Raw genomic sequence first — 27,433 nt, forward strand, 5'->3', positions numbered from 1 at the left:
TTCTCTGACCTCTATGAGGTAGGAAGAACAGTTAAGGTTCTCCCAGTTTAAGCAATTACAAAATGGAAAAATAAGTGATTTTCCTAAGGTCACCAAGTAAATTAGGTTTGAAGCCCAGGATAGACCAGTATTTCTCAAAGCATGGTCAGAGACACCTGGGGGTATGTGTCCAACTCCAGGTTTCCGGGCGTGGGCCATATCCTAGAACTCCCAAATCGGAGTTCCTGAAGGTAGGGCTGGAACTGGCATCTTATCAGGCTCCTGGGGCTTCTAGGGCACAGTGAAGTCTGCACAAGTCTGAGCTGCTGACACTTTCTGAATCTTGGTCCCATGTCCCCATCATGCCACATCTCTGAGTGTGCAGGAGGGACTGATGCTTTAGCCAAAGCATGACACACGTGCGATAGAAGATCTCAAGACAATTTCAGTTGGTATAAAGTTAAGTTCACTGGTATAGTAACTCAGCATTTATTTCCATAGGTATGGGGGAAAATGTAACTATCCGTTTAAGCACATGAGTTCATGAATTTTTGCATAGAACAAAGTTAAGTTTTTGAGAGCTGAGCTAATTTAAAGTTGATTTTAAGAAAATACGGTACCAAAATGTGGCAATAATTGTGCAAGTGATACAATAACGACTGAAGTTTGAGTGATTCTATGTCAGCAGCAGAAGCTGGGCTGGAAGGCAGGGCCTCTTCTAAAGGAGTTTTTAGAGCCCTGCAGAGACTGTCTACCTTTGTCCTTCAAACATTGTCAGCAGCCAGTACTTCTCATGATAAGTATTTATTATGACCATTGTTGTCATGCCAGGAGCCAGGGGGAGTGGAAATCTTTCCTCTGGGGAGAATGGGATGCCCTTTCTAACAGGTTAGGAGAACCCCAGACTCAAACTGTGTCCAAGCCTACAGACCAAGAAGCAGGCTGGGGACAAATGTCTCTCAAGTTTGGAAGGGGAGAGCTGTACACCCTTCTCACATCTTTCCCAGGTGCTCCAGGTGCCACCACTGCCCAAGGCAGTTCCTCACTCCGCTTCCCAAAGCACCACTGCGAATGGCCAGGTTGGCCAGGGGCTGAAGCAAAGAGAGGAGGGGCATTGTGCAAAGGAGAGATGACAAAGACAGAAAAAGAGAAGACAGCCAGAGAATGGAAGGCTGGGGGAGGGGAAGGACTGAAGGAGAAAGAAGAAAGTAAAGTGGGGGAAAAAAAGCATTTGTAAAATTAAAAGGCAGGGCCCCATCAGATGGGGTTGGGCAAGGAATGCATGTTACAGGCAGGAGTAATTGGTAATCGGAGCTGATGTGAAGAAGGGATGATTTATGGGAGCGTGCAGACAGGGGCGGAATAATTTTTGGAGCAGAACGGGGAACTTACTGAACGCCTGAAACTCAGCTACTTATCCACTCGTTCTTGTGATGAATTAGCTCTTGTTTAAAGTAACCGCGGCTCCATTTTTCATACTGATTACTACACTTGATATCTTTCTCTCTGTTTCCCTCTGACCACTGCCCCCTTACCAGGTTCTGGGTGCAGAGGCACTGGGTTTGTAGAAATTCGTCACCCCTCCTCCTTACTTCCCCCTCTCCCCCACCCTGCCCCACCCCCGTAGCAGCATTAACTCTAAATAGCCAAGTCTAAAACCCAGCCACTTGAAATATTGCACAGATTAGGAATGTGCAGAATTATTGAAGACTTTAGATGCAACATGGCCTGCTTATGCATCCCAAATGATTACAATTCCTTTGCCGATCTGATGTGGGAAGTGTCTTTCCAGGGCTGTCTACCACTGTGAAGTAGAGAACACACACCCCTTCCTAGCTGGGTGCAGCATTCCTTCCAAAGGTGGAAAGACCTCTGAGGATGCTGGCAAGCCCCGATGAGAGGGAAATTCAAGGTAAACATGTTCTTTCTATACCATATAGCGCTCCTTACCAACATTTTTTAAATATTAGTTTTAAATTTATAATATAAATGGCCGGGCATGATGGCTAGCACTTTGAAAGGCCAAGGCAGGAAGAGCACGTGAAGCCAGGAGTTCAAGACCAGCCTGGGCAACATAGAGAAACCCCATATGTAGAGACCCCATCTCTATAAAAAATAAAAATAAATAAACAAATGTATAGGCCGGGTGCGGTGGCTCACACCTGTAATCCCAGCACTTTGGGAGGCCAAGGCTGGCAGATCACGAGGTCAGGAGATCGAGACCATCCTGGTTAACAGGGTGAAACCCCATCTCTACTAAAAAAATACAAAAAAATTAGCTGCTCGCAGTGGTAGGCGCCTGTAGTCCCAGCTACTTGGGAGGCTGAGGCAGGAGAATGGCGTGAACCCAGGACGCGGAGCTTGCAGTGAGCCACTATACTCCAGCCCAGCCGACAGAGCGAGACTCCATCTCAAAAAAAAAAATTTATAATGTGCAGAAAGGGAGCAATACTAGGCATAGGTGTAGGTATACAAATATTACATCCTTTTATTATTTCTACCTTTTATTATGTATTTTTGTTGTTTTGTTATTTACATTTTTGTTATTGTTATTTTGTTATTATGTATTTTATTAAAAATACAACCTCAAACATTCCAGCTCCCACGCGGGTCTCAACACAAATTTCCCTTAAGAAGAAGGCTGATGAAAAAGTGATTAAAACAGGCCGGGCACGGTGGTTTATGCCTATAATCCCAGCAGTCTGGAAGGCCGAGGCAAGTTTGAGACCAGCCTGACCAACATGACGAAACCCCGTCTCTACTAAAATGCAAAAATTAGGCAGGCATGGTGTCACATGCCTATAATCCCAGCTACTCGGAGGCTGAGACATGAGAGTCACTTGAACCCAGGAGGCAGAGGTTGCAGTGAGCCGAGATTATGCCACTGCACTCCAGCCTGGGCAACAGAGCAAGACTCCATCTCAAAAAAAAAAAAAAAAGTTATTAAAACAATTTAAATATTCACAGAAGTTACTTGTGACTATCACAAAGGAAAAATATTTATTAAATGCTTGGAAAAAACTTCTAAGATACTCTTGACCTCTGTTTCCTTCCCCCACCATCAACTCTGAACCAAGAAACCACCCCAGGGCAGGCCGCTGGCTCTCAGTCAGGTTGCTGCAGACACTCGGGCAGGTTGTGCAAGGCAGTGGCCCCAGGTCCTCATGTCTTGTTAGTGCCCCCGTCCCTCCAGCTTGGCTGCCTCTATTTTTTTCTGCTGTCGGTCATAAGGACACTCATCTCACCCCTGGGCCTCACGATGCCCCCTCGATTTCTGTTTGCTTGCTGCCAGCACCTGCCTAGGTCTCTTGCATTCCTTGGGTGGCTCTGTCTCAGGCCCTGGGGTCTTTCCTGCCTCCGCAGATGCCTGGTTCTTCAGCTTCTTTTCAAAGTTTTCTAAACACCAAGGCCCCCTAGTTGTGGTCTTCGTTGCTTTTCTGGATCCTGACCCACCATGACCCTCAGGAACCTGCATGTGCCCCATCTCCAGCTGCTCTGCTGGCTCCGGACCCCTGCTCCTATCTTTAAAACCAGCCCCCCTGAGCTCCCTGGGGCTCAAGCCTATGCCTATGTGTTTGGCATCGTTTCGCTCACATCCAGATCCCGGCTCTTCTGGCCCTGGGTTCCCTTTCTCCCTGCCTTTATGATCTCCCTCGGCCTTGGAGGGACAGGAGGGAGGAAAGGAGAGCTGTGTTTCTAGTTCACAGAGAAAAGCTTTAGATTTGGAATTAGGACACTTAGAACCCAGTTGCAGCTTTGCCACTGATTCTAGGTGACAGGTTTCCCTCTTTGGACCTCAGTTTCCTCCTACAGAAAATGAAGAGATAGAGTGGCTGGTCACTAAGATCCTTTCCAGTGGCCAGGTGTGGTGGTTCATGCCTGTAGTCCCAGCACTTTGGGAGGTGGAGACAGGCGGATCACTTGAGGTTAGGAGCTCAAGGCCAGCCTAGCCAACATGGTGAAACCCCCTCTCTACTAGAATCTCAAAAATCAGCCGGGTATGGTGGCAGGAGCCTGTAATCCCAGCTACTCGGGAGGCTGAGGCACGAGAATTTCTTGAACCCAGGAGGCGGAGGTTGCAGTGAACAGAGATGGCACCACTGCAGTCCAGCCAGGGCAACAGAGCGAGACTCCGTCTCAAAAACAACAACAACAGGCCAAGCGTGGTTGCTCACGCCTGTAATCCTAGCACTTTGGGAGGCCGAGATGGGTGGATTGCCTGAGCTCAAGAATTCAAAATCAGTCTGGGCAACACGGTGAAACCCCACCTCTACTAAAATACAAAAAATTAGCCAGGCGTGGCGGCGTGCACCTGTAGCCCCAGCTACTCAGGAGGCTGAGACAGGAGAATCGCTTGAACCTGGGAGGCAGAGGTTGCAGTGAGCCAAGATCGCACCACTGCACTCCAGCCTGGGTGACATCTCAAAAACAGCAACAACAACAATAACAACAAATATCCTTTCCAGTGAATAGTTAAGAGCATTTGGTGTAGAGTTAGACCCAGGGTCAAATCCCATCTCTACCCTCACTGCGGATCTCTCTGAGCCTCTGTAATACCAACTTCCTGGGTTTTTATGAGGATTAAATGCAAGACTGAATACAAATTGCTTATTATAGTACCTGGCACATGGCGAACACTCAGTAGGTGTTAGCTGCTATCGTCATCATCATCATCGTCATCATTATTGTGTACCACTCTGTCATTGAGCTAATCCTAGAAGGTCTTTCCCGGTTGGCCTTTCATTTTGTTTTATATATTAAACTTTTTTTAAAAATGTATGTATGTACGTATGTATTTATTTATTGAGATGGAGTCTTGCTCTGTTGCCCAGGCAGGGGTGCAATGGTGCGATCTCGGCTCACTGCAACTTCTGCTTCCTGGGTATATATTGAACTTTTTAAAGTAGGGTCTTGGTCTTTAATCTGCCTCATCACACTTGCTGAACAAGGCCCACTCTCAGCAGTGGACAGCGATGGCTGGAGAAGGGAACAGCCCACACAGAGTCTGGGAATTACTGTTTTAGACTCATGCTTCTTTTAACAAGAAAACACTCCATCAAGAAGGAGCTGAGTCAGCCCGACAGCTGAATCCACAACATAGCCAATCAGGGGCCGGCACTCTCAGAGATGCCCAAGTCCCATGCCCATCATCAAGGTCCAGACGTCCTTGCTGGGCGTTGGGAAGCAGGGTTGGGGACAGGGTGGGGCAGGGCTGGTCCTGGTTGGCAGAGATGCAGTCGGGAGACTAGAAAGACAGCAGCCAAGGCTGAAGCCAGAATTGAGAGGCAGTAGGCCCCACCCAAGTTCGGGAGGGCCCCTAGAGGGGTGCAGACTAGAGACATGGCCAGCCAGATTTATGTAGCATGACTGCATGACACCTGAGCCCAACCCTTCCCAGGATTCCTCCAGCACCTGCCTGCCCTCCACTCTGGGCCACCTCCCACATAGAGTAGGAAGCTGGGTCCGGGGTTGGGGTATGCTCTGGGGTGACCTTCCCCTCCACCTCCTGCTGGTTGGCAGGTTCTGCAGATGTCTGGTCATTAAGCAAAAATGCCAGAAAAGAGAACAGTCACTCTGGCTCTGCCAGCAACAATGGGGAACTTCATTGCCTAGCTTACATCCAGTGACAATGGACACTTCTTTCCTTTTTGCTGGGTTGTCTCTTTACCTGGCTGGAGCTTGGAGATGGACAGTTCCCCCAAGCTAAGCCAACAGCCTTTCTTTCCTAGAAAGAAGGCCCTAATCATACCTCCAGCCTCCGTGAGGCTCAGCAAGCATACACCTGTCCACCTGCGGCTCAACACTGCCTAATTCCAACATCCATCCATTCATTCCAAAAATATTAGTTGACACCCACTATGTGCCAAATACTCCATGGGAGTGGGAGATGACTCAGATCCGGGGCTGGACCTACCATGAGTGAACCTACCCCCGGGGACAAAAATCATACAGAGCACTTGATTCTCTTTTGGGGACAGGAGGCCCATTCCATTAGACTGTGCCCAGGTGGGGAACAGGAACCAGATCTGTTACGTTCATTATTCTCTACTCAGCCCTTAGCACCATGCCTAGAAGATAGAAGGCAGTCTGTAATATTTCTGGAAGGAATGCTTCTTCCAAAAGGGATTGTGGATGGATGACCCCTGAGTAGCCCACGCCAAGCAGCCAATCCTGACAGCTGCTACTACTCCATGGCATTCCATCTGTGCACACGTGTCAATCCAGTCTCCCACTCCACCCAGGAGCCTCCACAGGGATGCCCAGCCAATCCTGAGGAAACACTTTATAACAGCGACCCCTAGAGGCTGACATTATCATCACACCCCATCACATGAAGAGGAAATGGAGACAGTTTCAGCGAGTAGCCAATGAGCACACCCAGGTTCCAAAGGCTGCCTCTTTCCCTTACACCATCAGTACAGAGGACACTGTCACGGAGTTTGGGGTGATTGTGTGCAGGCTGGAGAAGGAGAAGGAAGGGCAGAAGGAGCAGACATTACCAGTGTTGGGCTCTGCAGCAGGAGGCCGTGCTTCTAGTGCAGACTAAGGATCTGGATGCACCTTTGCTGGGTGTGTTGCTGGTATGCGCGGTTAAGCCCTCCAAGCCCCCTAACCCCTACCCTTTTATGGAACAAATATTCAGCAATTCTTTTTTTATCAACTCGAATGACATTTTTTATAAATAATTTTTTTTTTTTTTTTTTTTTTTTTTTTTTTTTTTTAGAGATGGAGTCTCACTATGTTGCCCCAACTGGTCTCAAACTCCTGGGTTCAAGCGACCCTCTTACCTCAGCCTCCTGAGTACCTGGGATTACAGAATTACAGGCACACACCACGGAGTGGGGCCTGGCTGCCTGGCTTTCAGCAATTCTGATTGGCTGGACTCAGGGTTACCAAGTGGGACCAGGCCCAGGCCTGGAACTAAGGCTTCTGCACAACAGGCCTGGAAGGGATCTGACTGTTCAATAACCGAACTTCTCTCTTCCCCAGGTGCCCGACCCTTTTACGGTGATCTGCGTATCTTTAGCTAATAATTAACTTGTCACAAACCCCATCAATACCCCATCAAGGGAGTGATAGAGGGAGAGGGAGGGGATGGGGGAAAACGGTCCCAGCCCAGCACCCCAGCCGGCCACAGCCCCACGCTCATCTGGCCCATAATAAATAGGATGAAAGGCACTCCTGATAAATGCCCGTGTCAGGGAGAGATTTTAGCTTCACTCAGAAACAATGTAATATCTCGGCTATTACCCAAAATAATTTATCAATGTGTAATAGCTTTGTGCAGGCCTCAGATAGGAGGGGAGCTGAGCTATCAGAGATGGATGTAGCCTACCTTCGGCTTTTAATTTTTAATGTTCGCAGCCAGCTTTGCATCAAAGGCCAGGTGTCATATAAAGACTTAATGTAAGAAGGGAGTTCATGAATTCTAATCAAGGGACGAGTGCTCCCTGGCTGGCTGCTGTCACCTCCTGGCTGGTCTTATTGATCTTTTGTTTTCTCCCCTTCTGGTTCTTCTTGCTCTTCCTTCTCCTCTCTACGTCCTCCACCTCACCCCTCCCCTCCCTGCCCAACCCTTCCTGCCCCATCCCACCCTGGGTTTTCCTCTTCCCAAGATGCATTTGTTTTTTCCCACTGTAAAAGGGAGGGTCTCTGGCTGGGCCAGGGCAGCGAATGCAAAGATTCTGGAACAGCGGGATGAGACACCCAATTTCAAGATGGCAAGACTTTTTTTTTCTTCATTCATTCCATTTTTATTTATTCATTCATTTCTTTTTCATTCATTCATCCAGAAAATGTTTTTAAATATTCACGAGGAGCCCAACTCTGCTACACAATGGAAGAGGCAGGCAAGATGGTTTCTGCCTCTAGAGGAGTTTCTAATCTTGCTGAGAAAATACTCTTTCAGGCCAGGCATGGTGACTCACACCTGTAATCCCAGCACTTTGGGAGGCCGAGGCGGATGGATCACCTGAGGTCAGGAGTTTGAAACCAGCCTGGTCAACGTGGTGAAACCCCGTCTCTACTAAAAATACAAAAATTAGCCGGGCATTCTGGCACATGCCTATAGTGCCAGCTGCTTGGGAGGCCTCGGCAGGAGAATCGCTTGAACCCAGGAGGCAGAGGTTGTAGTAAGCTGAGATCGTGCCACTGCACTCCACCTGGGGTGACAAAGTGAGACTCTGTCTCAAAAACAAAAACAAAAACAAAAAAACTCTTCATGCAAACATACACGTGTAAATATGACTGGAGACAGTTGCATGAGATTTAAAGAAATCCTCAAGTGTCATCTTCTGAGTGAGGCTTTCCCTAATTTGTGCAGCTAAGTATATACACACACACACACACACACACACACACACACACACACACACCCCAGCCAGCATCCCCTGTCCCACCTGGGCTTTCTTTTTCTCCTTCTACTACACTGTAGAAACTGCCTGTACTAAAAGACAAACAGGCACATTACAATTTTAAAGAGTTTATTGAAGCAAACAGCGATTCATGAGTCAGTCTGCGTTAGACCCCAAGTGGTTCAGGGCTCCACTGAGGGGGTGCAAGGTGAAAACTTTTGTGTTTTTTTTTTTTTTTTTTTTTTTTGAGACAGAGACTCACTCTGTTACCCAGGCTGGAGTACAGTGGCGTGATCTCGGCTCACTGCACCCTCTGCCTCCCAGGTTCAAGCAATTCTCCTGTCTCAGCCTCCTGAGTAGCTGGGATTACAGGTGCCCGCCATCACACCCAGCTAATTTTGTATTTTTAGTAGAGAAGGGGTTTCACCTTGTTGGTCAGGCTGGTGTTGAACTCCTGACCTCATAATCTGCCCGCCTCAGCCTCCCAAAGTGCTGGGATTACAGGCGTGAGCCATCGCGCCCAGCCAGGTGAAAACTTTTATAAAGTATTTGCAGAAGCAGGACAGAAAAGATTTGAATGACTAAAGTGGAAAATCTCAGAGATTAGTTGGTTTCTGATTGTGAAACTCTCTAGTTAGAGGTTTGTTGGCAGTTTCTGATTGGTTAAGCTTGTGTTTTCTTTTTATTAATGTTTAAATTTTTTATTTTTATTTTTTTGTAGAGACTGGGTCTCACTATGTTGTCCAGGCTGGTCCTGAACTGGCCTCAGAAGATCCTCCTGCCTCAGCCTCCCAGAGTGCTAGGATTACTGGCATGAGCCACTGTACCTAGTCTATTCACTTGTGTTTTCTTGGGCTATGGCCCTTTGAGTTGGGTTTCAGTTGTTTACTTAGGAACCCAAGGCACTTTGGAGCTATCTCAGCCTAATGGCCTCCCAATTGATTCTTTTTTTCCTTTTTTCTTTTTTTTTTTTTTTTGAGATGGAGTCTTGCTCTGTCAACCAGGCTGGAGTGCAGTGGTGTGATCTTGGCTCACTGCAACCTCCGCCTCCTGGGTTCAAGCGATTCTCCTGCCTAAGCCTCCCAAGTAGCTGGGATTACAGGCGCCCACCACCACACGCAGCTAATTGTTGTATTTTTAGTAGAGATGGAGTTTTATCATGTTGGCCAGGCTGGTCTCAAACTCCTGACCTCAGGTGATCCGCCCACCTCAGCCTCCCAAAGTGCTGGGATTACAGACATGAGTCACCACGCCTGGCCCAATTAATTCTTTTATACCTATTTATTTTCTTTATGGTCTAACTCCTCCTACACAAATATAAGTTCTTGAGGGCAGGGATTTGGACCTCTTTTGTTCACTGATATGGCCCTTGTGCATAGAACAGGGCTCTGTGTAGTAGCTGCTCAAAAAGTTATCTACTGACTGAATTAAGCAACAAAAAGGTGGTGCTCAGAGGACAAGAGCAATGGTATTGCCAAGCCTTGGACAGGAAATGAACAATTGTGCCTTCCAGCAGCAGGCTACTGTAGCTCCTCTGCCCTAGGGAGCTCCACCCCTCTTTCAGATGCTGTAAGATACTGTAAGTCCCTGGGTAAACCACACTCTCCATCTAGCCCCAGTCCAGCCTACCCCATTCCTGCCTCTCTTTGGTAGACTCCTGGTGGTTTCCTCCTGCTGCCCTTTTCCCAGCCTGACTCAGATCAGAGGCAGGAGTGGGAAAGGAGGAGGACAGGGGATGTATGTCCACCTGGCTGTGAGCTCACCAGGGTGGGGCTGGGCCTTATGCCTCCTCGGATCCCAGAGCACAGGTCCTGGCATGCAGTAGGTGCTCAGTTCTGGGCAGGCCCGTTTTTATGTGAGTGCCGCATTCTTGCAAACTGCTTCTAATTTCAAACTCACAGAATTCATGACAAGTTTTCCCCCAGGAATAGATATAAAGTAGGATCTGCCTCCTTTCAAAACTTTTGCACAAGTGAGACTTCCTACCATTTGCATTGTCCAGTTTCAGATTCTCTTGAAAATGCCAACTGTGCGAGAGGGGCCAAGTTCTCTCCCCTGCTTTTGTGGCCCTGTGGCCTCTTTCCACTGTTTCTGCCCTCAAGAATACAGGATTCCTCCTCAAATCTCCCTTTTGTTCCTTTAAGACCCACTGCAAAGATCAGCCTCCTCCATGAAGCCCTCAGAAACAGTGGGCCCCTCCCTCCTCTGTGCTCTCAAAAAATTTTGTTCCTGCTTTTGTCACAGGCAGTTGAATTGTAAACGAGCTGCTAATGGGTCCATGTCTCCATTAGATCTTGAGTCCTTGACAGCAGACACTATGTCTAAGTCATCTCTTTAATCCTATCACCTTGTAAATAAATGAAGGAATGAATGAGTGAATGGGGCGCCCAGGTAACTCCCACAGATCTCCTCCAAAGCTGATGTAAGCTTCTAAGCTGGATTCATCAGAATCACCTTTGGAGCTTAAAACAAACCAACAAACCAAAATAAAACAATGCAGATTCTTTTACGTCACTCCAAACCTTGCTTTAGAAATACCCCCGCTCCCAAGAGATTTTGAAGATCAGGCAAGTGGGAGCCATAGCGCTAACCAGGGCCTGCCTTAGATTCACCTGGGGCACTTGGTAAAGGCACAGAATCCTGGGATACCATCCTGAATTTTTATTTTTTATTTTATATTTATTTATTTATTTATTTGAGACAGAGTCTTACTCTGTTGCCCAGGCTGGAGTGCAGTGGCTCGATCTTGGCTCACCGCAACCTCCACCTCCCAGGTTCAAGTGATTCTCATGCCTCAGCCTCCCCAGTAGCTGGGATTACAGGCAGGTGCCACCACTCCTGGCTAATTTTTATATTTTTAATAGAGACAGGGTTTCACCATGTTGCCCAGACTGGTCTCCAACTCCCGAGCTCAGGCAATCCACCCTCCTGGGCCTCCCAAAGTGCTAGGATTACAGGCATGTGAGCCACCACAACCCAGACACTCCAGGGAGAGTTTTTGTTTAACAAAGGCCCGAGGTGACTGCAGGAGTCAGAGCGGTTTGGGAAATGCCCCAGGCCCATGTACCTCAAGAGCTCTTAATCCTTGGTGAGGACACATCCTCCATCCCCTTTCAGACAATGAGTACTTCCAGAAGTCCCCGGTAATTTCCAGGGCAGGAAGGAACTTTAGTGATGATTCTATTGCAGGATTTGTCAACCTCAGTACTGTTGCCATTCTGGGTCAGATAATTCTTTGTTCTGGGAGGTCCTGTGTATGGTAGGATGTTTAGCAGCATCTCTGGACTCTATCCACTGCATGCCAGTAGTAACACCTGCCCCTCCATCCTCCAGTGTGACAACCCAAAATGTCTCCAGACATTGCCAAGTGTCCTGGGGGAATATATATCACCCCTTGCTAAGAAACACTTTGGTCCTGCCTGGGGCTCAGGAAGGCTGAATTCTTTGCCCAAGGGGAGTAACAATAAGATTTCAGGAAATAGTAAAAAGTGAAGATGAAGACGATGTACAAAGACGTTCATCACAGTTTTGTTTATAACAACAAAACGACCAAACTAGAAGCAGCCAAAGCGACTAAAAATAAAAGAAAGATTTGTTAGCACTTATGGCACCTTGTAAAATGGGATTTAGGCAGCCATGAAAATAGCAGTATCAAAGATTAACTAATGACATTGAAAAATAAAGGTTATATGAAAAAAACAGCTTACATGGCGGGATGAAGAGTGTGGTCCCAACATTATCTAAATGTGAAAGCAAAAGAACATAACTTTTTGCTATTTTCACAATGGACACTTAGTTAATTTTTTTTCCTGAATAAAACTTATTGTACTAAAAAAACTAAAACAATACAGAGAAACTGAAATTCTTCCTCTACATTCTACTTCCTAATCACAAGGCCAGAGGAAAATGTCGGGGCATCCCAGGCAGAGTAAGAATTAACAGGTTACACTGGTATTCTTCAAGCACACATTCAATATTTCTTTATTGGGAGTGGAGAGAAACTGATACTTACTGAACAAAAACAAAAACAGTATATCCTCTGTTTCAAAATAAGCAATTTATAAGCAAGCACTGAAGATGTTTTGTTTTCAATTACAAAATAATTGAAATATATGGAAGGTTATAGAAAACAATATAAACAAATTCCTATGTACCTACGTTAACTTACTTTAGGTGTTTAGTTTTTAAGAAATGTTGTGGGGCCGGGTGCAGTGGCTCATGCCTGTAATTCCAGCACTTTGGGAGGCTGAGACAAGAGGATTGCTTGAGCCCAGAAGTTTGAGACCAGTCCGGGCAACATGGTGAAACCCCGTCCCTATGAAAAATTAAAAATTAGCTGGGCGTGGTGCCACGTACCTGTAGTCCCAGGTACTCAGAGACTGAGCTGGGAGGATTGCTTGAGCCCGAGAAGGTTCAACTGCAGTGAGCCATGATGGCACCACTGCACTCCAGCCTGGGCAACAGAGCTAGACCCTGTCTCAAAAAAAAAAAAAAAAAAAAGAAAAGAAAAGAAATGTTGTAAATCTACTTAAATAGTCTAAGCCATATTCTCTTACATTTTTCTTGCCTACTTGTCCTGAAAGAAATCACTATCTGCCAGGCGCGGTGGCTCACGCCTATAATCCCAGCAATTTGGGAGGCTGAGGCGGGCAGATCACTTGAGGTCAGGAGTTGTGACCAGCCTGGCCAACATGGTGAAACCTCGTGTCCATTAAAAATAGAAAAATTTGCTGGGTGTGGTGGTGGGTGCCTGTAATCTCAGCTACTCGGGAGACTGAGGCAGGAGAATCGCTTGAACCCAGGAGGCAGACGTTACAGTGAGCCGAGATCACACCACTGCACTCCGGCCTGCATGACAGAGTGAGACTCTGTCTCAAAAAAAAAAAAAAAAAGAAATCACTATCTTGAAGGTGTTAACAATCATTTCCAGGCATGTTTTAATATATTTATTATATGTGCATATATCCATAAATAATTTCAGTCATGCAATTAAATGAATTTATTAATTAATATTAATATAAATAGCATCAAATTATAGTCTCTTGCAATTTACTTTTTAAATCTTGTGATTTTTAAAAATTTATTTATATTTATGCATATAGATTTATTTATTTCAGTTGTGAATTATTATGACATTATATGACTAAATTACAGCTTATCAATCCTTTCTTCTACTGCAGGACAGTTCTACTCTCATTTTTCCATTATTTCAAACAATGTCCTGGTGAGTTTCCTGCAGATCTCCCTGTGAATTTGTGGGAGAGTTTGATTTCTATGGCAGCACTCATCAAACCTTTTGATGTCAGGATTCCTTTACATTCTTTTTTTTTTTTTGAGACCGAGTTCACTCTTGTTGCCCAGGCTGGAATGCTATCTCAGCTCACTGCAACCTCTGCCTCCCGGGTTCAATCCATTCTCCTGCCTCAACCTCCGGAGTAGCTGGGATTACAAATGCCCTCCACCACATCTAGCTAATTTTTTGTATTTTTAGTAGAGATGGGGTTTCGCCATGTTGCCCAGGTTGGTCTTGAACTCCTGACCTCAGGTGATCCGCCTGCCTTGGGCTCCCAAAGTGCTGGGATTATAGGTGTGAGCCACCACACCTGGTCTTCCCTTACACTCTTAACAATTAATGAAGGCCACAAAGAACTTTCGTTGAAGGGAGTTATATCTATCAACAAATACCATAGTTAACAGTTTAGAAATTACAACTGAGAATTTTAAAAATTTTATTCATTTATTTGAAATAACAACACATCTATTTCATGTCAATATAAATAACATATTGTTATGAAAAGTAACTTCTTTAAAATAAAAAAATTTAGTAAGATAAGTGGTAGCAGTGTTGTTCTTCATTTTCACAAAGCTCTCTGTTTACTGTGCTATGTTGTTTTGGCCGAAGCCTATGAAGAAAATTTGGCCTCACAAAGCTACATAGTTGGAAAGGAGAGAAGCAACTTAAGAGTCTTTTCAGATCATTGTGGATATTTTTTGATAATACTCACTTAACAAGTGGTAGTTTCTTAAAGATTGGTTGCAGTGTAACATGTGAAACCATATTAGTGCTCATTTTGTGCTCTATTACGTTAAAAGGCATTGATCTATCTTGTACCTTGAAAAGATCTTTTACCTGTGATTTTTGTAACATCCTACATTGATCATTTGGAAAATATTAGTTCACCCAGTCCTGCAAATCTGTCAGATGCTGGCACACTTTACTACACAATATCACACACACAAAAAATGCATTCACTAACATCACCTTTTAAAAAAAATTTTAATTTTTTTTAAGACAGAGTTTCACTCTGTCACCTAGGCTGGAGTTCAGTGGCGGGATCTCAGCTCACTGCAACCTCCACCTCCTGGCTCAAGCGATTCTCCTGCCTCAGCCTCCCAAGTAGCTGGGACCACAGGTGTGCACCACCACACCCAGCTAATTTTTTGTATTTTTAGTAGAGACGGGTTTCACCATTTTGCCCAGGCTGGTCTGCCTTGGCCTCCCAGAGTGCTGGGATTGCAGATGTGAGCCACCATGCCAGCCTTACCTGATAGCACCTTTGATTTTATCAGGAGAACTTTAGCTATTGAGAAGCTGTCAAGCTCACGAGGCAGCAGGTCCAAGTTTCCCACAATTTGAAAGCTCAAATTTTGTCATTGAATTGACAAGCTCTCTTCCTTTCTCAGAAAATATCTCCCAAATACCCCAATTTGAATAACCACGGTATGTCCATTGTTCTTTCAAGAAAAAATAACGTTCTGTGAAAAAAGTGGCCAGTTCATCTTTCTTTTTTTTATTTTTTGAGACAGAGTCTCGTTCTGTCGCCAGGCTGGAGTGCAGTGGCACGATCTTGGCTCACTGCAACCTCCGATTTCCAGGCTCAAGTGATTCTCCTGCCTCAGCTTCCCGAGTAGCTAGGACTACGGGTGGGTGCCATCATGCCCAGCTAAGTTTTGTATTTTTAGTAAAGACCAGGTTTCACCATGTTGGCCAGGCTGGTCTCGAACTTTTGACCTCGTGATCCACCTGCCTCGGCCTCCCAAATTGCTGGGATTGCAGGCGTGAGCCAGCGCGCTGGGCTAGTTCATCTTTCAACACACACATTCCCCCGTGTGCTTTCCTCTTGAGTATTCAGCAGAAGGGGTTTACGTGCAATTCCCATTTCCTCATGCAGAACATTCAAAATAAGTAACCAGGGTCGAGATTTCTACATTTTAAAAATTCTACTGCTCCATCAAGAACATCCTTCAGTAAAACTGGTTTTTGTCTTTGTTTTGTTTACTGAAGGGCATGACAGTGACAATTGGTGCAGGTTAAGGCCACTGCCTTGCTGCATGCTAAGGCACTATCACTTGAACGTCATCAGTGCAAATGTTGTCACAGCAGAAAAGACAAATAACATCTTAGTGTTTGTTCTTTTATTTATTTATTTATATAGAGAGAGACAGGGGTCTCGCTATGTTGGCTAGGCTGGTCTCGAACTCCTGACCTCAAGCAATCCTCTTCCTGCCACAGCTTCCCAAAGTGCTGGGATTACAGGTGTGAGCCAGCACACTTGGTTTCCTAGTTTTGTTCTGAAAATAGTTTTGACCTTGCAGGTGTCCTTGGAAGCATCTCAGAAATCCTCCTGGGGTTGGGGGTCACATGTTCAGAATTGCTGTTCTAGGTTAGCTAAACAGAAGCTAAATTACTGGGTGGTGGGGTGGGCGCATTTTACCTTTACTAGTCCCTCTCAAATTGCTCTTCAAAGTGGTTTTATCAACTTCCCTCCCACCAGCAATGTGTAAGCGTTCTCAAGTCTCCATATCCTGATCATCACTGGGTGTTGTCCAACTTATGGTTTTTGCCGATCTAGTGGGTATGAAATGGTGCCTCATCGCTGTATTCATTACAGGAGAGCATGTCAAGTACATTTGGAGCAGTCTTTCCAATCAGTTCTTTAACCACTCATAGTTGGGTGGTACTTATGGCACTCACTAATAATTGAGGTAGTTCCCAAGAATATAGATATATAAAATCTCTATATATCTCTATGTTGAATAGGTTTAAAAGTTGGGTGTCTTTTTCCCTCTAGCTTTCATGTTGGCAAAACATTTCCCACTTCAATTTTCTTCTGCAATTTTCCAAATGAGAGAGCTTCTGGAAAATGCTATTCTAGGGTTTTTAATAATTTATCCCCTGTAAACACTGCTAGCCCATATGTGATTTGGTTTCAAAATTGCAGTTGATTACACAGCAGATTAGAGCCTGCTGTTTTCAGGAGCGGTGATGCTGCCTATAGTAGTAGCATGTGTACATTGTCGAAACCCTCAACACAGATTTGTAGATGCTGCTAAAACTGACTGTGCAGGAATCTCGGTGAGAAATGGTATATCAGTCTCTAACATGCTAACTTTTCAGGAGACTTTCTAGAATGCATGTGTGTGTGTGTGTGATTTTTGCTTTACCTGTCGACTCTATAAACTCACCTCATGTGAGGAGCAAGGCTATTCTAAATAGTATGTGGGAGCCAGAATTAACAGGCACCAGGTTTCTCATTTCTCATTTATTTCATTACTGTTTAGCTCCCCTTATAAATTTGCGTTCTCAGCATCTGTTCATCTAAACCAGAAATTGGCAAACTTTTACCATATAACTCCAGATAGTAAATATTTTAGGTTTTGTGGGCCACATGATCTCTGTTACAACTACTCACCTCTCCTTTTGCAGGGTGAAAGCAACCAGCCATAATAAGTAAACCAAAGGTGTGGTTGTATTTCAAGAAAGCTTTATTTGCAAAAACAAGAGAGTGGTAGGCTGGGTATGGTAGCTCACGCATATAATCCCAGCGCTTTGGAAGGCCGAGGTGGGAGGATAGCTTGAGACCAGGAGTTCAAGACTACCCTGGTCAACATAGAAAGACCCCCATCTCTACTAAAAAAAAAAAAGGCCAGGTGTGGCAGTGCATGCTTGTAGTCCCAGCTACTCAGGAGGCTGAGGCAGGAGGATTGCTTGAGCATAGAGTTGGAGGTTGCAGCAAGACCCTGACCCCTTCTGGACTGCTTCTTCATCTGGCTCTCTGGGGAAAGCCTTGGCTAAGCCTGTGGTGTCCATTCTTCCAGTATTATGGTCTGTAGTTTTTACTTTCTATAACTGTGGCTGGGTTTGGTGGCTCACGCCTGTAATCCCAGCACTTTGGGAGGCCGAGGCAGGCAGATCACCTGAGGTCAGGAGTTTGAGACCAGCCTGGCCAACATGGTGAAACCCTGTCTCTACCCAAAATACAAAAACTAGCCTGGCGTGGTGGCCTGTACCTGTAATCCCAGCTACTCAGGAGGCTGAGGCAGGGGAATCGCTTGAACCCAGGAGGAGGAGGCTGCAGTGAGCTGAGATCATGCCACTGCATTCCAGCCTGCTGGGTGACAGAGTGAGGCTCTGTCTCAAAAAAAATTAAATATATATATATTTATATACATATATACACATATATATATAACTGTGCATGTGCCTATGTATTGTTGAATCTTTAATGAAAAAGAAGTAAATACAAGAAGGTAAACATGGAGATGATGTAGATAACAAGTAAGATTATTATTACTGTAAATTATAAAACTATATAGGCCCTGAGAGAACTTGAAGTGCATGCCAACTAGGCCACATGATGAGGAGGATAGACATGGCAGCTGTCCTTTCGGGGACCTCCACTGCTCTCCAGAAAACAGAAATCAAATAAGTTCCAGAAGGCTTCTTGGAGAAAAAGCTGATTCCAGGTCTGGGAAAAGAAAAGTCAAAGAGGAGGCCAAAACCTCTGGTTGTGCCAGACAGGAAGTTGTGCTCAAAGCATGAGGGACACAGGGATCCACTTGAAGGAGTCCCTTTGGCCAAATCTGGGGAATATGAGCATCAAAGTGAGTAATAATAGTAAAGAATAATAACTCACTGAATAAAATAAGAATCCCCAAATCCATACTGATATAAATAAATAAGTAAATAAGTAGACAGGGGAAAAGGGATGGTTCTTCCTTACAGCTGAATGCCAAGTAGTATAGACAGATGGAATGATGGAGTTCAAAAATCATCAATGGATGCTAAAACCAGTGGGTTAAAGTTTGATGAGGAACAGGCTATTTTCAGTTTTAGAGTACCTTAACACAAATTATGTATTCATCACAGAGGGAAGCATAGTAACTTTACAATGCAGAAATCTGGCACATATTACTTTTACCAAATGATTAAAGTTAATATCACCAATATTGGGTTAAATTGGCATCTTGTGCCTCCTGACGTGAGGCACTGAGAAGAACAGTGTCCCTATCCAAATGCACAAACTGAATCTCATCATGGAAAAACATCAGACAAGCCCAAACTGAGGGATGTTCTACAAAATAACTGGTCTGCTCTCTTAAACGGTAATGTGAAGGTCAAGAAATGCAAGGGAAAGCTGGAGAGCTGTCCAGATCAAAGAAGACCAAAAGAAGCATGACAGCTGAATGCCCCCAGGTTATCCTGGATTGGACCCTGGACTGAAGAGGAAAACCAGCTATAAAAGAAACTTGCTTTAGGGACCATTGATGAAATTTGAATATAGATTACAGATTAAATAATAGTTTATTTTTGTTTTTGTTTTGAGACAGAGTCTTGCTCTGTCACCCAAGCTGGAGTGCAATGGCATGATCTTGGCTCACTGCAACTTCCACCTCCTGGGTTCAAGCAATTCACTTGCCTCAGGTTCCCGAGTAGCTGGGCTTACAGGTGACCGCCACCGCGCCTGGCTAAGTTTTGTATTTTTAATAGAGATGGGGTTTCACCATGTTGTCCAGGCTGGTCTCAAACCCCTGACCTCAAGTGATCCACCTATCTTGGCCTCTTTTATCTTGACCTCCCAAAGTGCTGGGATTACAGGCATGAGCCACTGCATCCAGCCAATTGTTAACATTAAATGTTCTGATTTTGATAACTATACTAAGGTTACATAAGAGAATGTCCTTGTCCTTTGGAAAAACAGTGAAGTATTTGGGGTTAAAAGAAAATTGGTTCTGGTAACATGAAGAAATGCCTTACAAGCCAAAGTTGGGTTTCCCCATATGTATGAATTCTAGAAGGTGGGGGCATCTTCTGGCTAATAGCCTGCCCTGAATTAGTAGGCCCACAGATTTTCTCATCTATTTATTTTCTTCCCCTGGCCCCTGATACCTCTGCTATGTCTATTTATTTTCATTTCAATATATTGTATCATCAGAAAAAAATTACTTTTTTGGCCGGGCACAGTGACTCATGCCTGTAATCCCAGCACTTTGGGAGGCCGAGGCAGGCGGATCACTTGAGGCCAGGAGTGAGACCAGCCTGGACAACATGGCAAAACCCCGTCTCTACCAAAAACACGAAAATTAGCCGAGCATGGTGGCGCATACCTGCAATCCCAGCTACTCGAGTGAGGCACAAGAATCACTTGAATCGGGAGGCAGAGGAGGTTTCAGTGAGATCGTGCCACGGCACTCCAGCCTGGGTGACAGAGCGAGACTCTGTCTTAAAGTTCCTTTTTTTTCTTTTTGAGACAGAGTCTCACTCTGTCGCCCAGGCTGGAGTGCAATGGCGCAATTGCGGCTCACTGCAACCTCCGCCTCCCTGGTTCAAGCGATTCTCCTGCCTCAGCCTCCCGAGTAGCTGGGACTACAGGCACCCGCCACCACGCCTGGCTAATTTTTTGTATTTTTAGTAGAGACGGGGTTTCACCATGTTGGCCAGGATGGTCTCAATCTCTTGACCTCGTGATCCACCCGCCTTGGCCTCCCAAAGTGCTGGGATTACAGGCGTGAGCCATCGCACCCAGCTGCAAAAAAAAAAAAAAAAAAGGTATTTTTTTTTAAGTTTAGGAGAAGGGCATTTCAGGTGGAATGAACAAAATTATAAAGGTGGGATATGCGAGTAGTGGTTTGGGGGCTTAGAATATATCCAAGTTATGGCAAATGAGTAGTGGAAAAATAAGACTGAAAAGGTAGTTATATTCAGATTACCAAGGACACTAAATATCATAGTAAAGTGTGTTAATTTTGCTGATGGGGCAAAGGGCAACCATTCATTGAGAGCTGTTGAGTAAGAAAGCGACATAGAGGTGAACATAGGGAGGAGGATCCCGGCTGCACGTTTAGGTTGGAAAAGCAAGAACAACACCTGGAATTGGAGGATATTTGTAAAAGGAGGGAAGAAGGCTGTGATGGTTAATAATTGAGTGTCAACTTGACTGGATTGAAGGATGCAAAGTACTGTTCTTGGGTGTGTCTGTGAGGGTGTTGCCAAAGGAGATTAACATTTGAGTCAGTGGACTGGGAGAGGCAGACCCACACTCAGTCTAGGTGGGCACCATCTAATCAGCTGGCAGCACAGCTAGAATAAAGCAGGCCAGAAGAAGTTGGAAAGAGCAGACGTGTTAATAGTGGAGGGTGTCCAGTTTCTTGGCTTCTTGAACAAAGAATTGGACAAAAGGCACAAACAAAGCAAGGAAAGAATGAAGCAACAAGAGCAGAGATTTATTGAAAACGAAAGTACACTCCATAGGGTGGGAGTGGGCTGAGCAGCGGCTCCAGAGCCCCGAGACAGAATCTTCTGGGGTCCAAATACCCCCTAGAGGTTCCCCACTGGCCACTTGGTGTACACCCCATGCAAATGAAGTAGTGACCCGTAATCAGTCTGATTGGTTGCAGAAAGCAACCAATCATAAATACTTTCGATTTTCCACCTGCCATGCAGAAAGATGTGGGGAGGGTTTGCAAAGGGAATAGCTTCTGGTCCTTTTGTTACTTAGGTTTGGAAAGTTGAGTTTTTTCCTTTGATTTAGTTCTGGGCAGTCAGCGTGAATCAGCCATAGATTCCCTGCCTCCAGACACTATTCTCCTGTCTCAGACCCACAGAGTCTTCCGGCCCCATTTTTCTATGGTGTTAGATGCTTCCTGACCTTGAACATCAGACTGCAAGTTCTTCTGCTTTTGGACTCTTGGACTTATGGCAGTGATTTGCCAAGGACTCTCGGGCCTTAAGCCACAGACTGAAGGCTGCACTGTTGGCTTCCCTACTTTTGAGGTTTTGGGACTCAGACTGGCTTCCTAGCTCCACAGCTTGCAGACGGCCTATTGTGGGACTTCACCTTGTGATCGTGTCAGTCAATACTCCTTAATTAACTCCCCTTCATATATACATCTATCCTATTAGTTCTGTCCCTCTAGAGAACCCCAACCAATACAGGGGCAATGAGTGTCCCATTCACAGTTCAACACACATTTTTGCATAGCTGGAACTGGGGAAATAGAGATGGATACAGAAGATTCATCTGCCTTGAGGAACTCTTTGAGGCTATGGGAGCCAGTGGACTCATCAAAAGGAGGCAGTAGAAAGGGATGGAAACAAACAAAGAAGGAACTTGGGGAAGTGCCTGCACTGGGGCGCAGGAGCAGAAAGAGGAGCCAGCGAAGGAGGCAAGAGTGATCAAGGAAGAAGGAGAGCCAGGAGGGCACAGTGCCATAGAGGCCCCAGGAGAGAAGTATCACCAAGGAGGAGCCAGGCATGGCCGAGAGGTGTGAAGGCTGCTGAGAAACTGGGTGCAGCCCTTGGATGTGGCTGTTGGGTTCTAGTTAATGTCTTAGAATTTGACTCAGTAAAGCAGGAGAGGGGAAGCCAGACCGGAAGGAGGAAATGGAGGCACCAGGTAAATGTTGCCCTTTGGAGAAGCTAGGTGGTATTATAAAGGAAGAAGGTGAGAAAGCAAAACCTGAAGAAAATGGGACCGAGGGATGTTGTCATTCTCTTTGATGCCATGGCAGATCCCCTCCTTGCTCCTCTGAGTCTGCCCGAGGACAGACACACCTTCACCCAGGGCAGCCAAGCAGAGCTACCCGTGCTGCCTGTACCTACACAGCTGTCATCTGCCCGTGGGCATGAGAGTGGGGTCCGTGTGGCCAATGTCTCCTTGTATTTTATTACTCACATGCGACACTTAATTACCAGCCTTCTGGATTCTGGACAAAGAGGTGATGCTTCTATTGCCTAGAGAAGAAAACAATGGTGTTATCACCACTGAAAGCAGAAGAACAGGGGCAAACTCCTGTCAGGCAGTGACAAGAAACAATTCAGTCTCGCCCCTCTCCCACCCAGAACTCTGTTGGTCAAGCATAAATCTTTTCATTAGTATGGAATTCTGTGTTCCTTTAACATTTGCACTCTGTAATGGTGATAGCAATGATGACAATGACAGCTAAATATTTACTGGGCTATGTGCCTGGATGGTATTTTTTTTTTCTTTTTTTGAGATGGAGTCTTGCCCTGTCGCCCAGGCTGGAGTGCAGTGGCACGATCTCGGGCCACTGCAACCTCTGCCTCCTGGGCTCAAGCGATTCTTCCACCTCAGCCTCCCAAGTAGCTGGGACTACAGGCACCTGCCACCACACCTGGCTAATTTTTGAATTTTTAGTAGAGACAGGGTTTCACCATGTTGGCCAGGCTCGTCTCGAACTCTGGCCTAAAGTAATCCACCCGGCTTGGCCTCCCATAGTGCTGGGATTACGGGCATGAGCCACCACGCCCAGCTGCCTGGATGGTATTATTACAAGGAAGGAAACAAACAAAGGAAGGACTTTGGGAAGTACTTGCATTTGGGGGAAGGAGCACAAAGAGGAGCCAGTTAGTTTGTAGGGCTCCAAGCAAGATAGGGGATGATATCTCCATCTCTTATCTCTCTATATATAGATAGATAGGTAGTTAGATAGATAGAGAATAGGTGGGCAGATAGCTAGTTATGTTAAATAGATAGATTGAAGGGCTTGGGGTATGTGATTGTGGGGCTGGCAGGGCAAATTCGAATCCACAGAGCAGGCATCAGAAAGGGTGGGCTGGAACTCTCAGGCGTGGGCTGACGCTGCTGTCCACAGGCAGAAATCTCTTCTTTACGGAAGCTTTGGCTCTGCTTTTAAGATCTTTCAACCGATTGAATCAGGTCCACCTAGATTTTCAAGAATTGTCTCCCCTAAAGTCAATGGATTGTGGGCTTTACGCATGTTTACAAAATACCTTCGTGATAACACTAAGCGTGTGCACATGTGCACACAAATGCTCAGACACACACACACACACTCACACACACACTCAAGCTGATTTGCCCAAGTTTGTTTGCATAGAGACAACTGGGAGATTTGCTGCCAGGGCCACCACATTTTCAGTTAGTGCTTGGCTGAATAACTGGGGACTGAAGCCTAGCCACACTGACACACCAACTTCAGGACAGGCAAATCCATAGAGTCAGAAAGTAGATGAGTGGTTGTGTCAGAGGGACTGGGGGAGGAGGAGGAATGGGGAATGATCACTCAAAGGGTACAGTGTGTTCTTCTGGGGTGAGGGAAAAGTTTTGGAACTAGAGAGGTGGTGGTTGCCCACATTGTGAATGCATCAAATGTCACTGAATGGTACACGGAATGGTTAGTTGCATGTTATGTGAATTGCAGTTCAATTCAAAATAAAGAAAGAGTCCTAACAAATACATGGAGAAATGGTTGACTTCTGTCTTTCCCTGGCGCCCTAGGGCTCCCCCTAGCTGACCCCTGAAGACTCCATTCTTGAAGAGATCTGGCCCCACTCCAAACAAAATGAACCAATCAAAGTTTCAGTTTGAAGACAGAGAGAGAGGAGAGAGAGAGAGAGAGAGGAGAGAGAGAGAGAGAGGAGAGAGAGAGAGAGAGAGAGGAGAGAGAGAGAGAGGAGGAGAGAGAGAGGAGAGAGAGAGAGAGGAGAGAGAGAGAGAGGAGAGAGAGAGAGAGAGAGAGAGGAGAGAGAGAGAGAGGAGAGAGAGAGAGAGAGAGAGAGAGAGAACAAGGCTTCACCAACCTCCCAAGCTCCTGACACCCTGGGCCTTTGGCCTGGCCAAGTGCCAGCCAGAGCCCTCCGGCTGGAGTGGTTGATGGCTGCATGGTCCTGAGCTCAGCTAAGGTCCCTGATGTTCCTCTGATCCCCTTCCTAGGTCAGGAACTCAGGGGAGAGGCCTCCCAGGTACCTTCTGTTGCCAAATGGTCCGAGCCCCTCTAATCAGGGTCTCTGACTGTTGAGTCCCTGTGGCTAACACAGTGACTCTAACTGCCGTGTACTACAAATTAATTCATTCCGTTAGGCCTTGCTGTTCGGTAACTGGCTGTCACAGAGATCGCCCCGGGAGCTAATTGAGAGTTGCGATCCGTGGCCGTATTTCCATTAGCGGCATAATGACAGGCAGCCACTGCGCACACACAAATACACACTGAAGCACAAAACACGGGTACACATATACACACCAGACACTAAGTGCGAGATACGAGCATACAAACGCTTAGGGACACACACACACACACACACACACAGAGTCAAGCTGATTGTCCCAAGTTTATTAGCACAGAGACAACTTGGGGATTGTGTACGAGGGCCACCACATTTTCAGATCCCCTAGACGAGGATGAAGCCCCTGTGAACACAGACACTGGGACTGACCCACTGGCCACTGCCAAGAACACAAAGCCCCGCCCCCACATGCTGAGGCACCTGGGTCCATAGGTGCTCCTGTGGGCCGTGGGACCTGGGTGTCCTCACTTGGCTTCCTTTGACCAAGGGGAGAGACAAGCTTGTGACCACTGCAGAGACTCTGTGTGGACGTGTGCACAGCAGTTGGTGTGAATAAATGGTCAACGGTTCTCATTTCAACCAAAGTTCACTAACCTCCAGCTCTTTGCCAGGGAGTGGAGATGAATACATTCATTAATTGTTCAAGAAGTCCTTACTGGCTGGGCACAGTGGCTCACGCCTGTAATCCCAGCACCTTTGGAGGCCGAGGTGGGAGGATTGCTTGAGCCCAGGAGTTCAAGACCAGCCTGCGCAACACAGGGAGACTCTGTCTCTACAAAAAATACAAAAATTAGCCAGGCGTGGTGGTCGCACCTGTAGTCCTAGCTACTTGGGAGGCTGAAGCAGGAGGATCCCTTGAGTCCAGGAGTTCAAGCCTGCAGTGAGCCATGATGGTGACACTGAACTCCAGCCTGGGCAATAGAGCAAGATCCTATCTCCAAAAATAAATAAATGAATTTTTTAAAATATTAAAAAAGAAATCCTCATTTGGCTAAGAACCAGGCATCTTTCTCCCCACTCAGTGATTGTCTTAGGCTGGGTTCCCCAGAAGCAGAGCCTGAGTGAGGATGTGAATGAGGTGGTTTCTGGGACAGGAAGCTCCTGAAGGGGCACGGGACAGTGAAAACAGGGAAGGGAAGGAAGGCGATGCAGTGAATGTCAGGGAGCAACTCACCCTGTGGGCACCTGGGGTGCAGTCATGCTGGGGACCCTGGGAGAGTGTGCAGAACAAGTCCCAGTATTGTCCTACTCCTGCCTGAGGACAGAGGAGCTGAGGCATTATCTTAAGTTCCCACTGGACATTAGTTGAGGGTTGCTCCCAGGGGCATGAGCTCCCTGGCACTTCTAGCCTAACCGTTGTGCAGACCAAGCCTGCTTCCTAGCCAGCAGCCCTCCGTCAGAGTCAGGGCTTCTTCAGTAAGTACCTAAAGAGTGAGTGTAGGGAAAGTGAGTGCAGGGGAGGTGAGTGCAGGGAAAGTGAGTGCAGGGAAGGTGAGTGCAGGGGAGGTGAGTGCAGGGGAGGTGAGTGCAGGGGAGGTAAGTGCAGGGGAGGTGAGCGTAGGGGAGGTGAATGCAGGGGAGGTGAGTGCCACCATGTCTGGCTAATTTTTGTATTTTTTGTAGAGACAGAGTCTCCCTGTGTTGCGCAGGCTGGTCTTGAACTCCTGGGCTCAAGCAATCCTCCCACCTCGGCCTCCAAAAGTGCTGGGATTACAGGCGTGAGCCACTGTGCCCAGCCAATAAGGACTTCTTGAACAATTAATGAATGTATTCATCTCCACTCCCTGGCAAAGAGCTGGAGGTTAGTGAACTTTGGTTGAAATGAGAACCGTTGACCATTTATTCACACCAACTGCTGTGCACACGTCCACACAGAGTCTCTGCAGTGGTCACAAGCTTGTCTCTCCCCTTGGTCAAAGGAAGCCAAGTGAGGACACCCAGGTCCCACGGCCCACAGGAGCACCTATGGACCCAGGTGCCTCAGCATGTGGGGGCGGGGCTTTGTGTTCTTGGCAGTGGCCAGTGGGTCAGTCGCAGTGTCTGTGTTCACAGGGGCTTCATCCTCGTCTAGGGGATCTGAAAATGTGGTGGCCCTCGTACACAATCCCCAAGTTGTCTCTGTGCTAATAAACTTGGGACAATCAGCTTGACTCTGTGTGTGTGTGTGTGTGTGTGTGTGTGTGTGTGTGTGTGTGTCCCTAAGCGTTTACCCTCACATGTTTGGTAAGTTAGGTGTATTAAATGCATTTTCAACTTACAGTATTTTCCATTTCTTGTTTTTCTTTTTTTTTTTTTTAGATGGAGTCTCACTCTGTCACCCAGGCTATAGTGTGGTGGAGCCATCTCTGCTCACTGCAACCTCTGCCTCCCAGGCTCAAGCAATTCTCCTGCCTCAGCCTCCCGAGTAGCTGGGATTACAGGTGTGTGCCACCACGCCAGGCTAATTTTTGTATTTTTAGTAGAGACAGGGTTTCACAATTTTGGCCAGGCTGGTCTCAAACTCCTGACCTTGTGATCCCCCAGCCTTGGCCTCCCAAAGTGCTGGGATTACAGGCGTGAGCCACTGCGCCTGGCCAATATTTTCAATTTCTGATGCCGCATTGTAAGTTAAAGAACATTTGTATTTGTTAGATCCTTTCTGTGATAGGCTGAATGACGCCCCCCTACAAATGTTCATGTCTTAATCCCCAGAAGCTGTAAATATCTCACTCTACATTGCAGAGGGGTTTTCAGAGTTGTGATTAAATCAAGGGTCTTGAGATACAGAGATTATCCTGGATTATCTGAGTGGATTCAGTATGATCACAAGCATCCTTATAAGAGAAAGGCAGGAGGGTCAGAGTTGGAGAAGAAGATAGAATAACAGAAGCAGCAGAAGTTGAAGCGAGGAAGGGACCATGGAACCATGACTACAGGCAGCCACTAGAAGCTGGAAAAGGCAAGACAATGGGTTCTCCCTTAGAGCCTTCAGAAGGAATGCTGCCCTGCCAAC

At 46.3% G+C, this 27,433-nt stretch overlaps 5 annotated features.

Annotated features, from left to right (window-relative positions):
• Nucleotides 5,247–5,746: an enhancer, noted in NCBI's record as "H3K4me1 hESC enhancer chr14:77012337-77012836 (GRCh37/hg19 assembly coordinates)". NCBI's record gives its function as "activates a minimal SCP1, AML or CMV promoter by ChIP-STARR-seq in naive H9 embryonic stem cells {active_cell/tissue: H9 hESC(naive)}" and the evidence as "EXISTENCE:reporter gene assay evidence [ECO:0000049][PMID:30033119]".
• Nucleotides 10,096–10,608: an enhancer, noted in NCBI's record as "NANOG-H3K27ac hESC enhancer chr14:77017186-77017698 (GRCh37/hg19 assembly coordinates)". NCBI's record gives its function as "activates a minimal SCP1, AML or CMV promoter by ChIP-STARR-seq in naive H9 embryonic stem cells {active_cell/tissue: H9 hESC(naive)}" and the evidence as "EXISTENCE:reporter gene assay evidence [ECO:0000049][PMID:30033119]".
• Nucleotides 10,609–11,121: an enhancer, noted in NCBI's record as "NANOG-H3K27ac hESC enhancer chr14:77017699-77018211 (GRCh37/hg19 assembly coordinates)". NCBI's record gives its function as "activates a minimal SCP1, AML or CMV promoter by ChIP-STARR-seq in naive and primed H9 embryonic stem cells {active_cell/tissue: H9 hESC(naive and primed)}" and the evidence as "EXISTENCE:reporter gene assay evidence [ECO:0000049][PMID:30033119]".
• Nucleotides 11,122–11,633: an enhancer, noted in NCBI's record as "NANOG-H3K27ac hESC enhancer chr14:77018212-77018723 (GRCh37/hg19 assembly coordinates)". NCBI's record gives its function as "activates a minimal SCP1, AML or CMV promoter by ChIP-STARR-seq in primed H9 embryonic stem cells {active_cell/tissue: H9 hESC(primed)}" and the evidence as "EXISTENCE:reporter gene assay evidence [ECO:0000049][PMID:30033119]".
• Nucleotides 24,181–24,680: an enhancer, noted in NCBI's record as "H3K4me1 hESC enhancer chr14:77031271-77031770 (GRCh37/hg19 assembly coordinates)". NCBI's record gives its function as "activates a minimal SCP1, AML or CMV promoter by ChIP-STARR-seq in primed H9 embryonic stem cells {active_cell/tissue: H9 hESC(primed)}" and the evidence as "EXISTENCE:reporter gene assay evidence [ECO:0000049][PMID:30033119]".

This window comes from Homo sapiens, chromosome 14 (assembly GCF_000001405.40).
Source record: "Homo sapiens chromosome 14, GRCh38.p14 Primary Assembly".
NCBI lineage: Eukaryota > Metazoa > Chordata > Mammalia > Primates > Hominidae > Homo > Homo sapiens.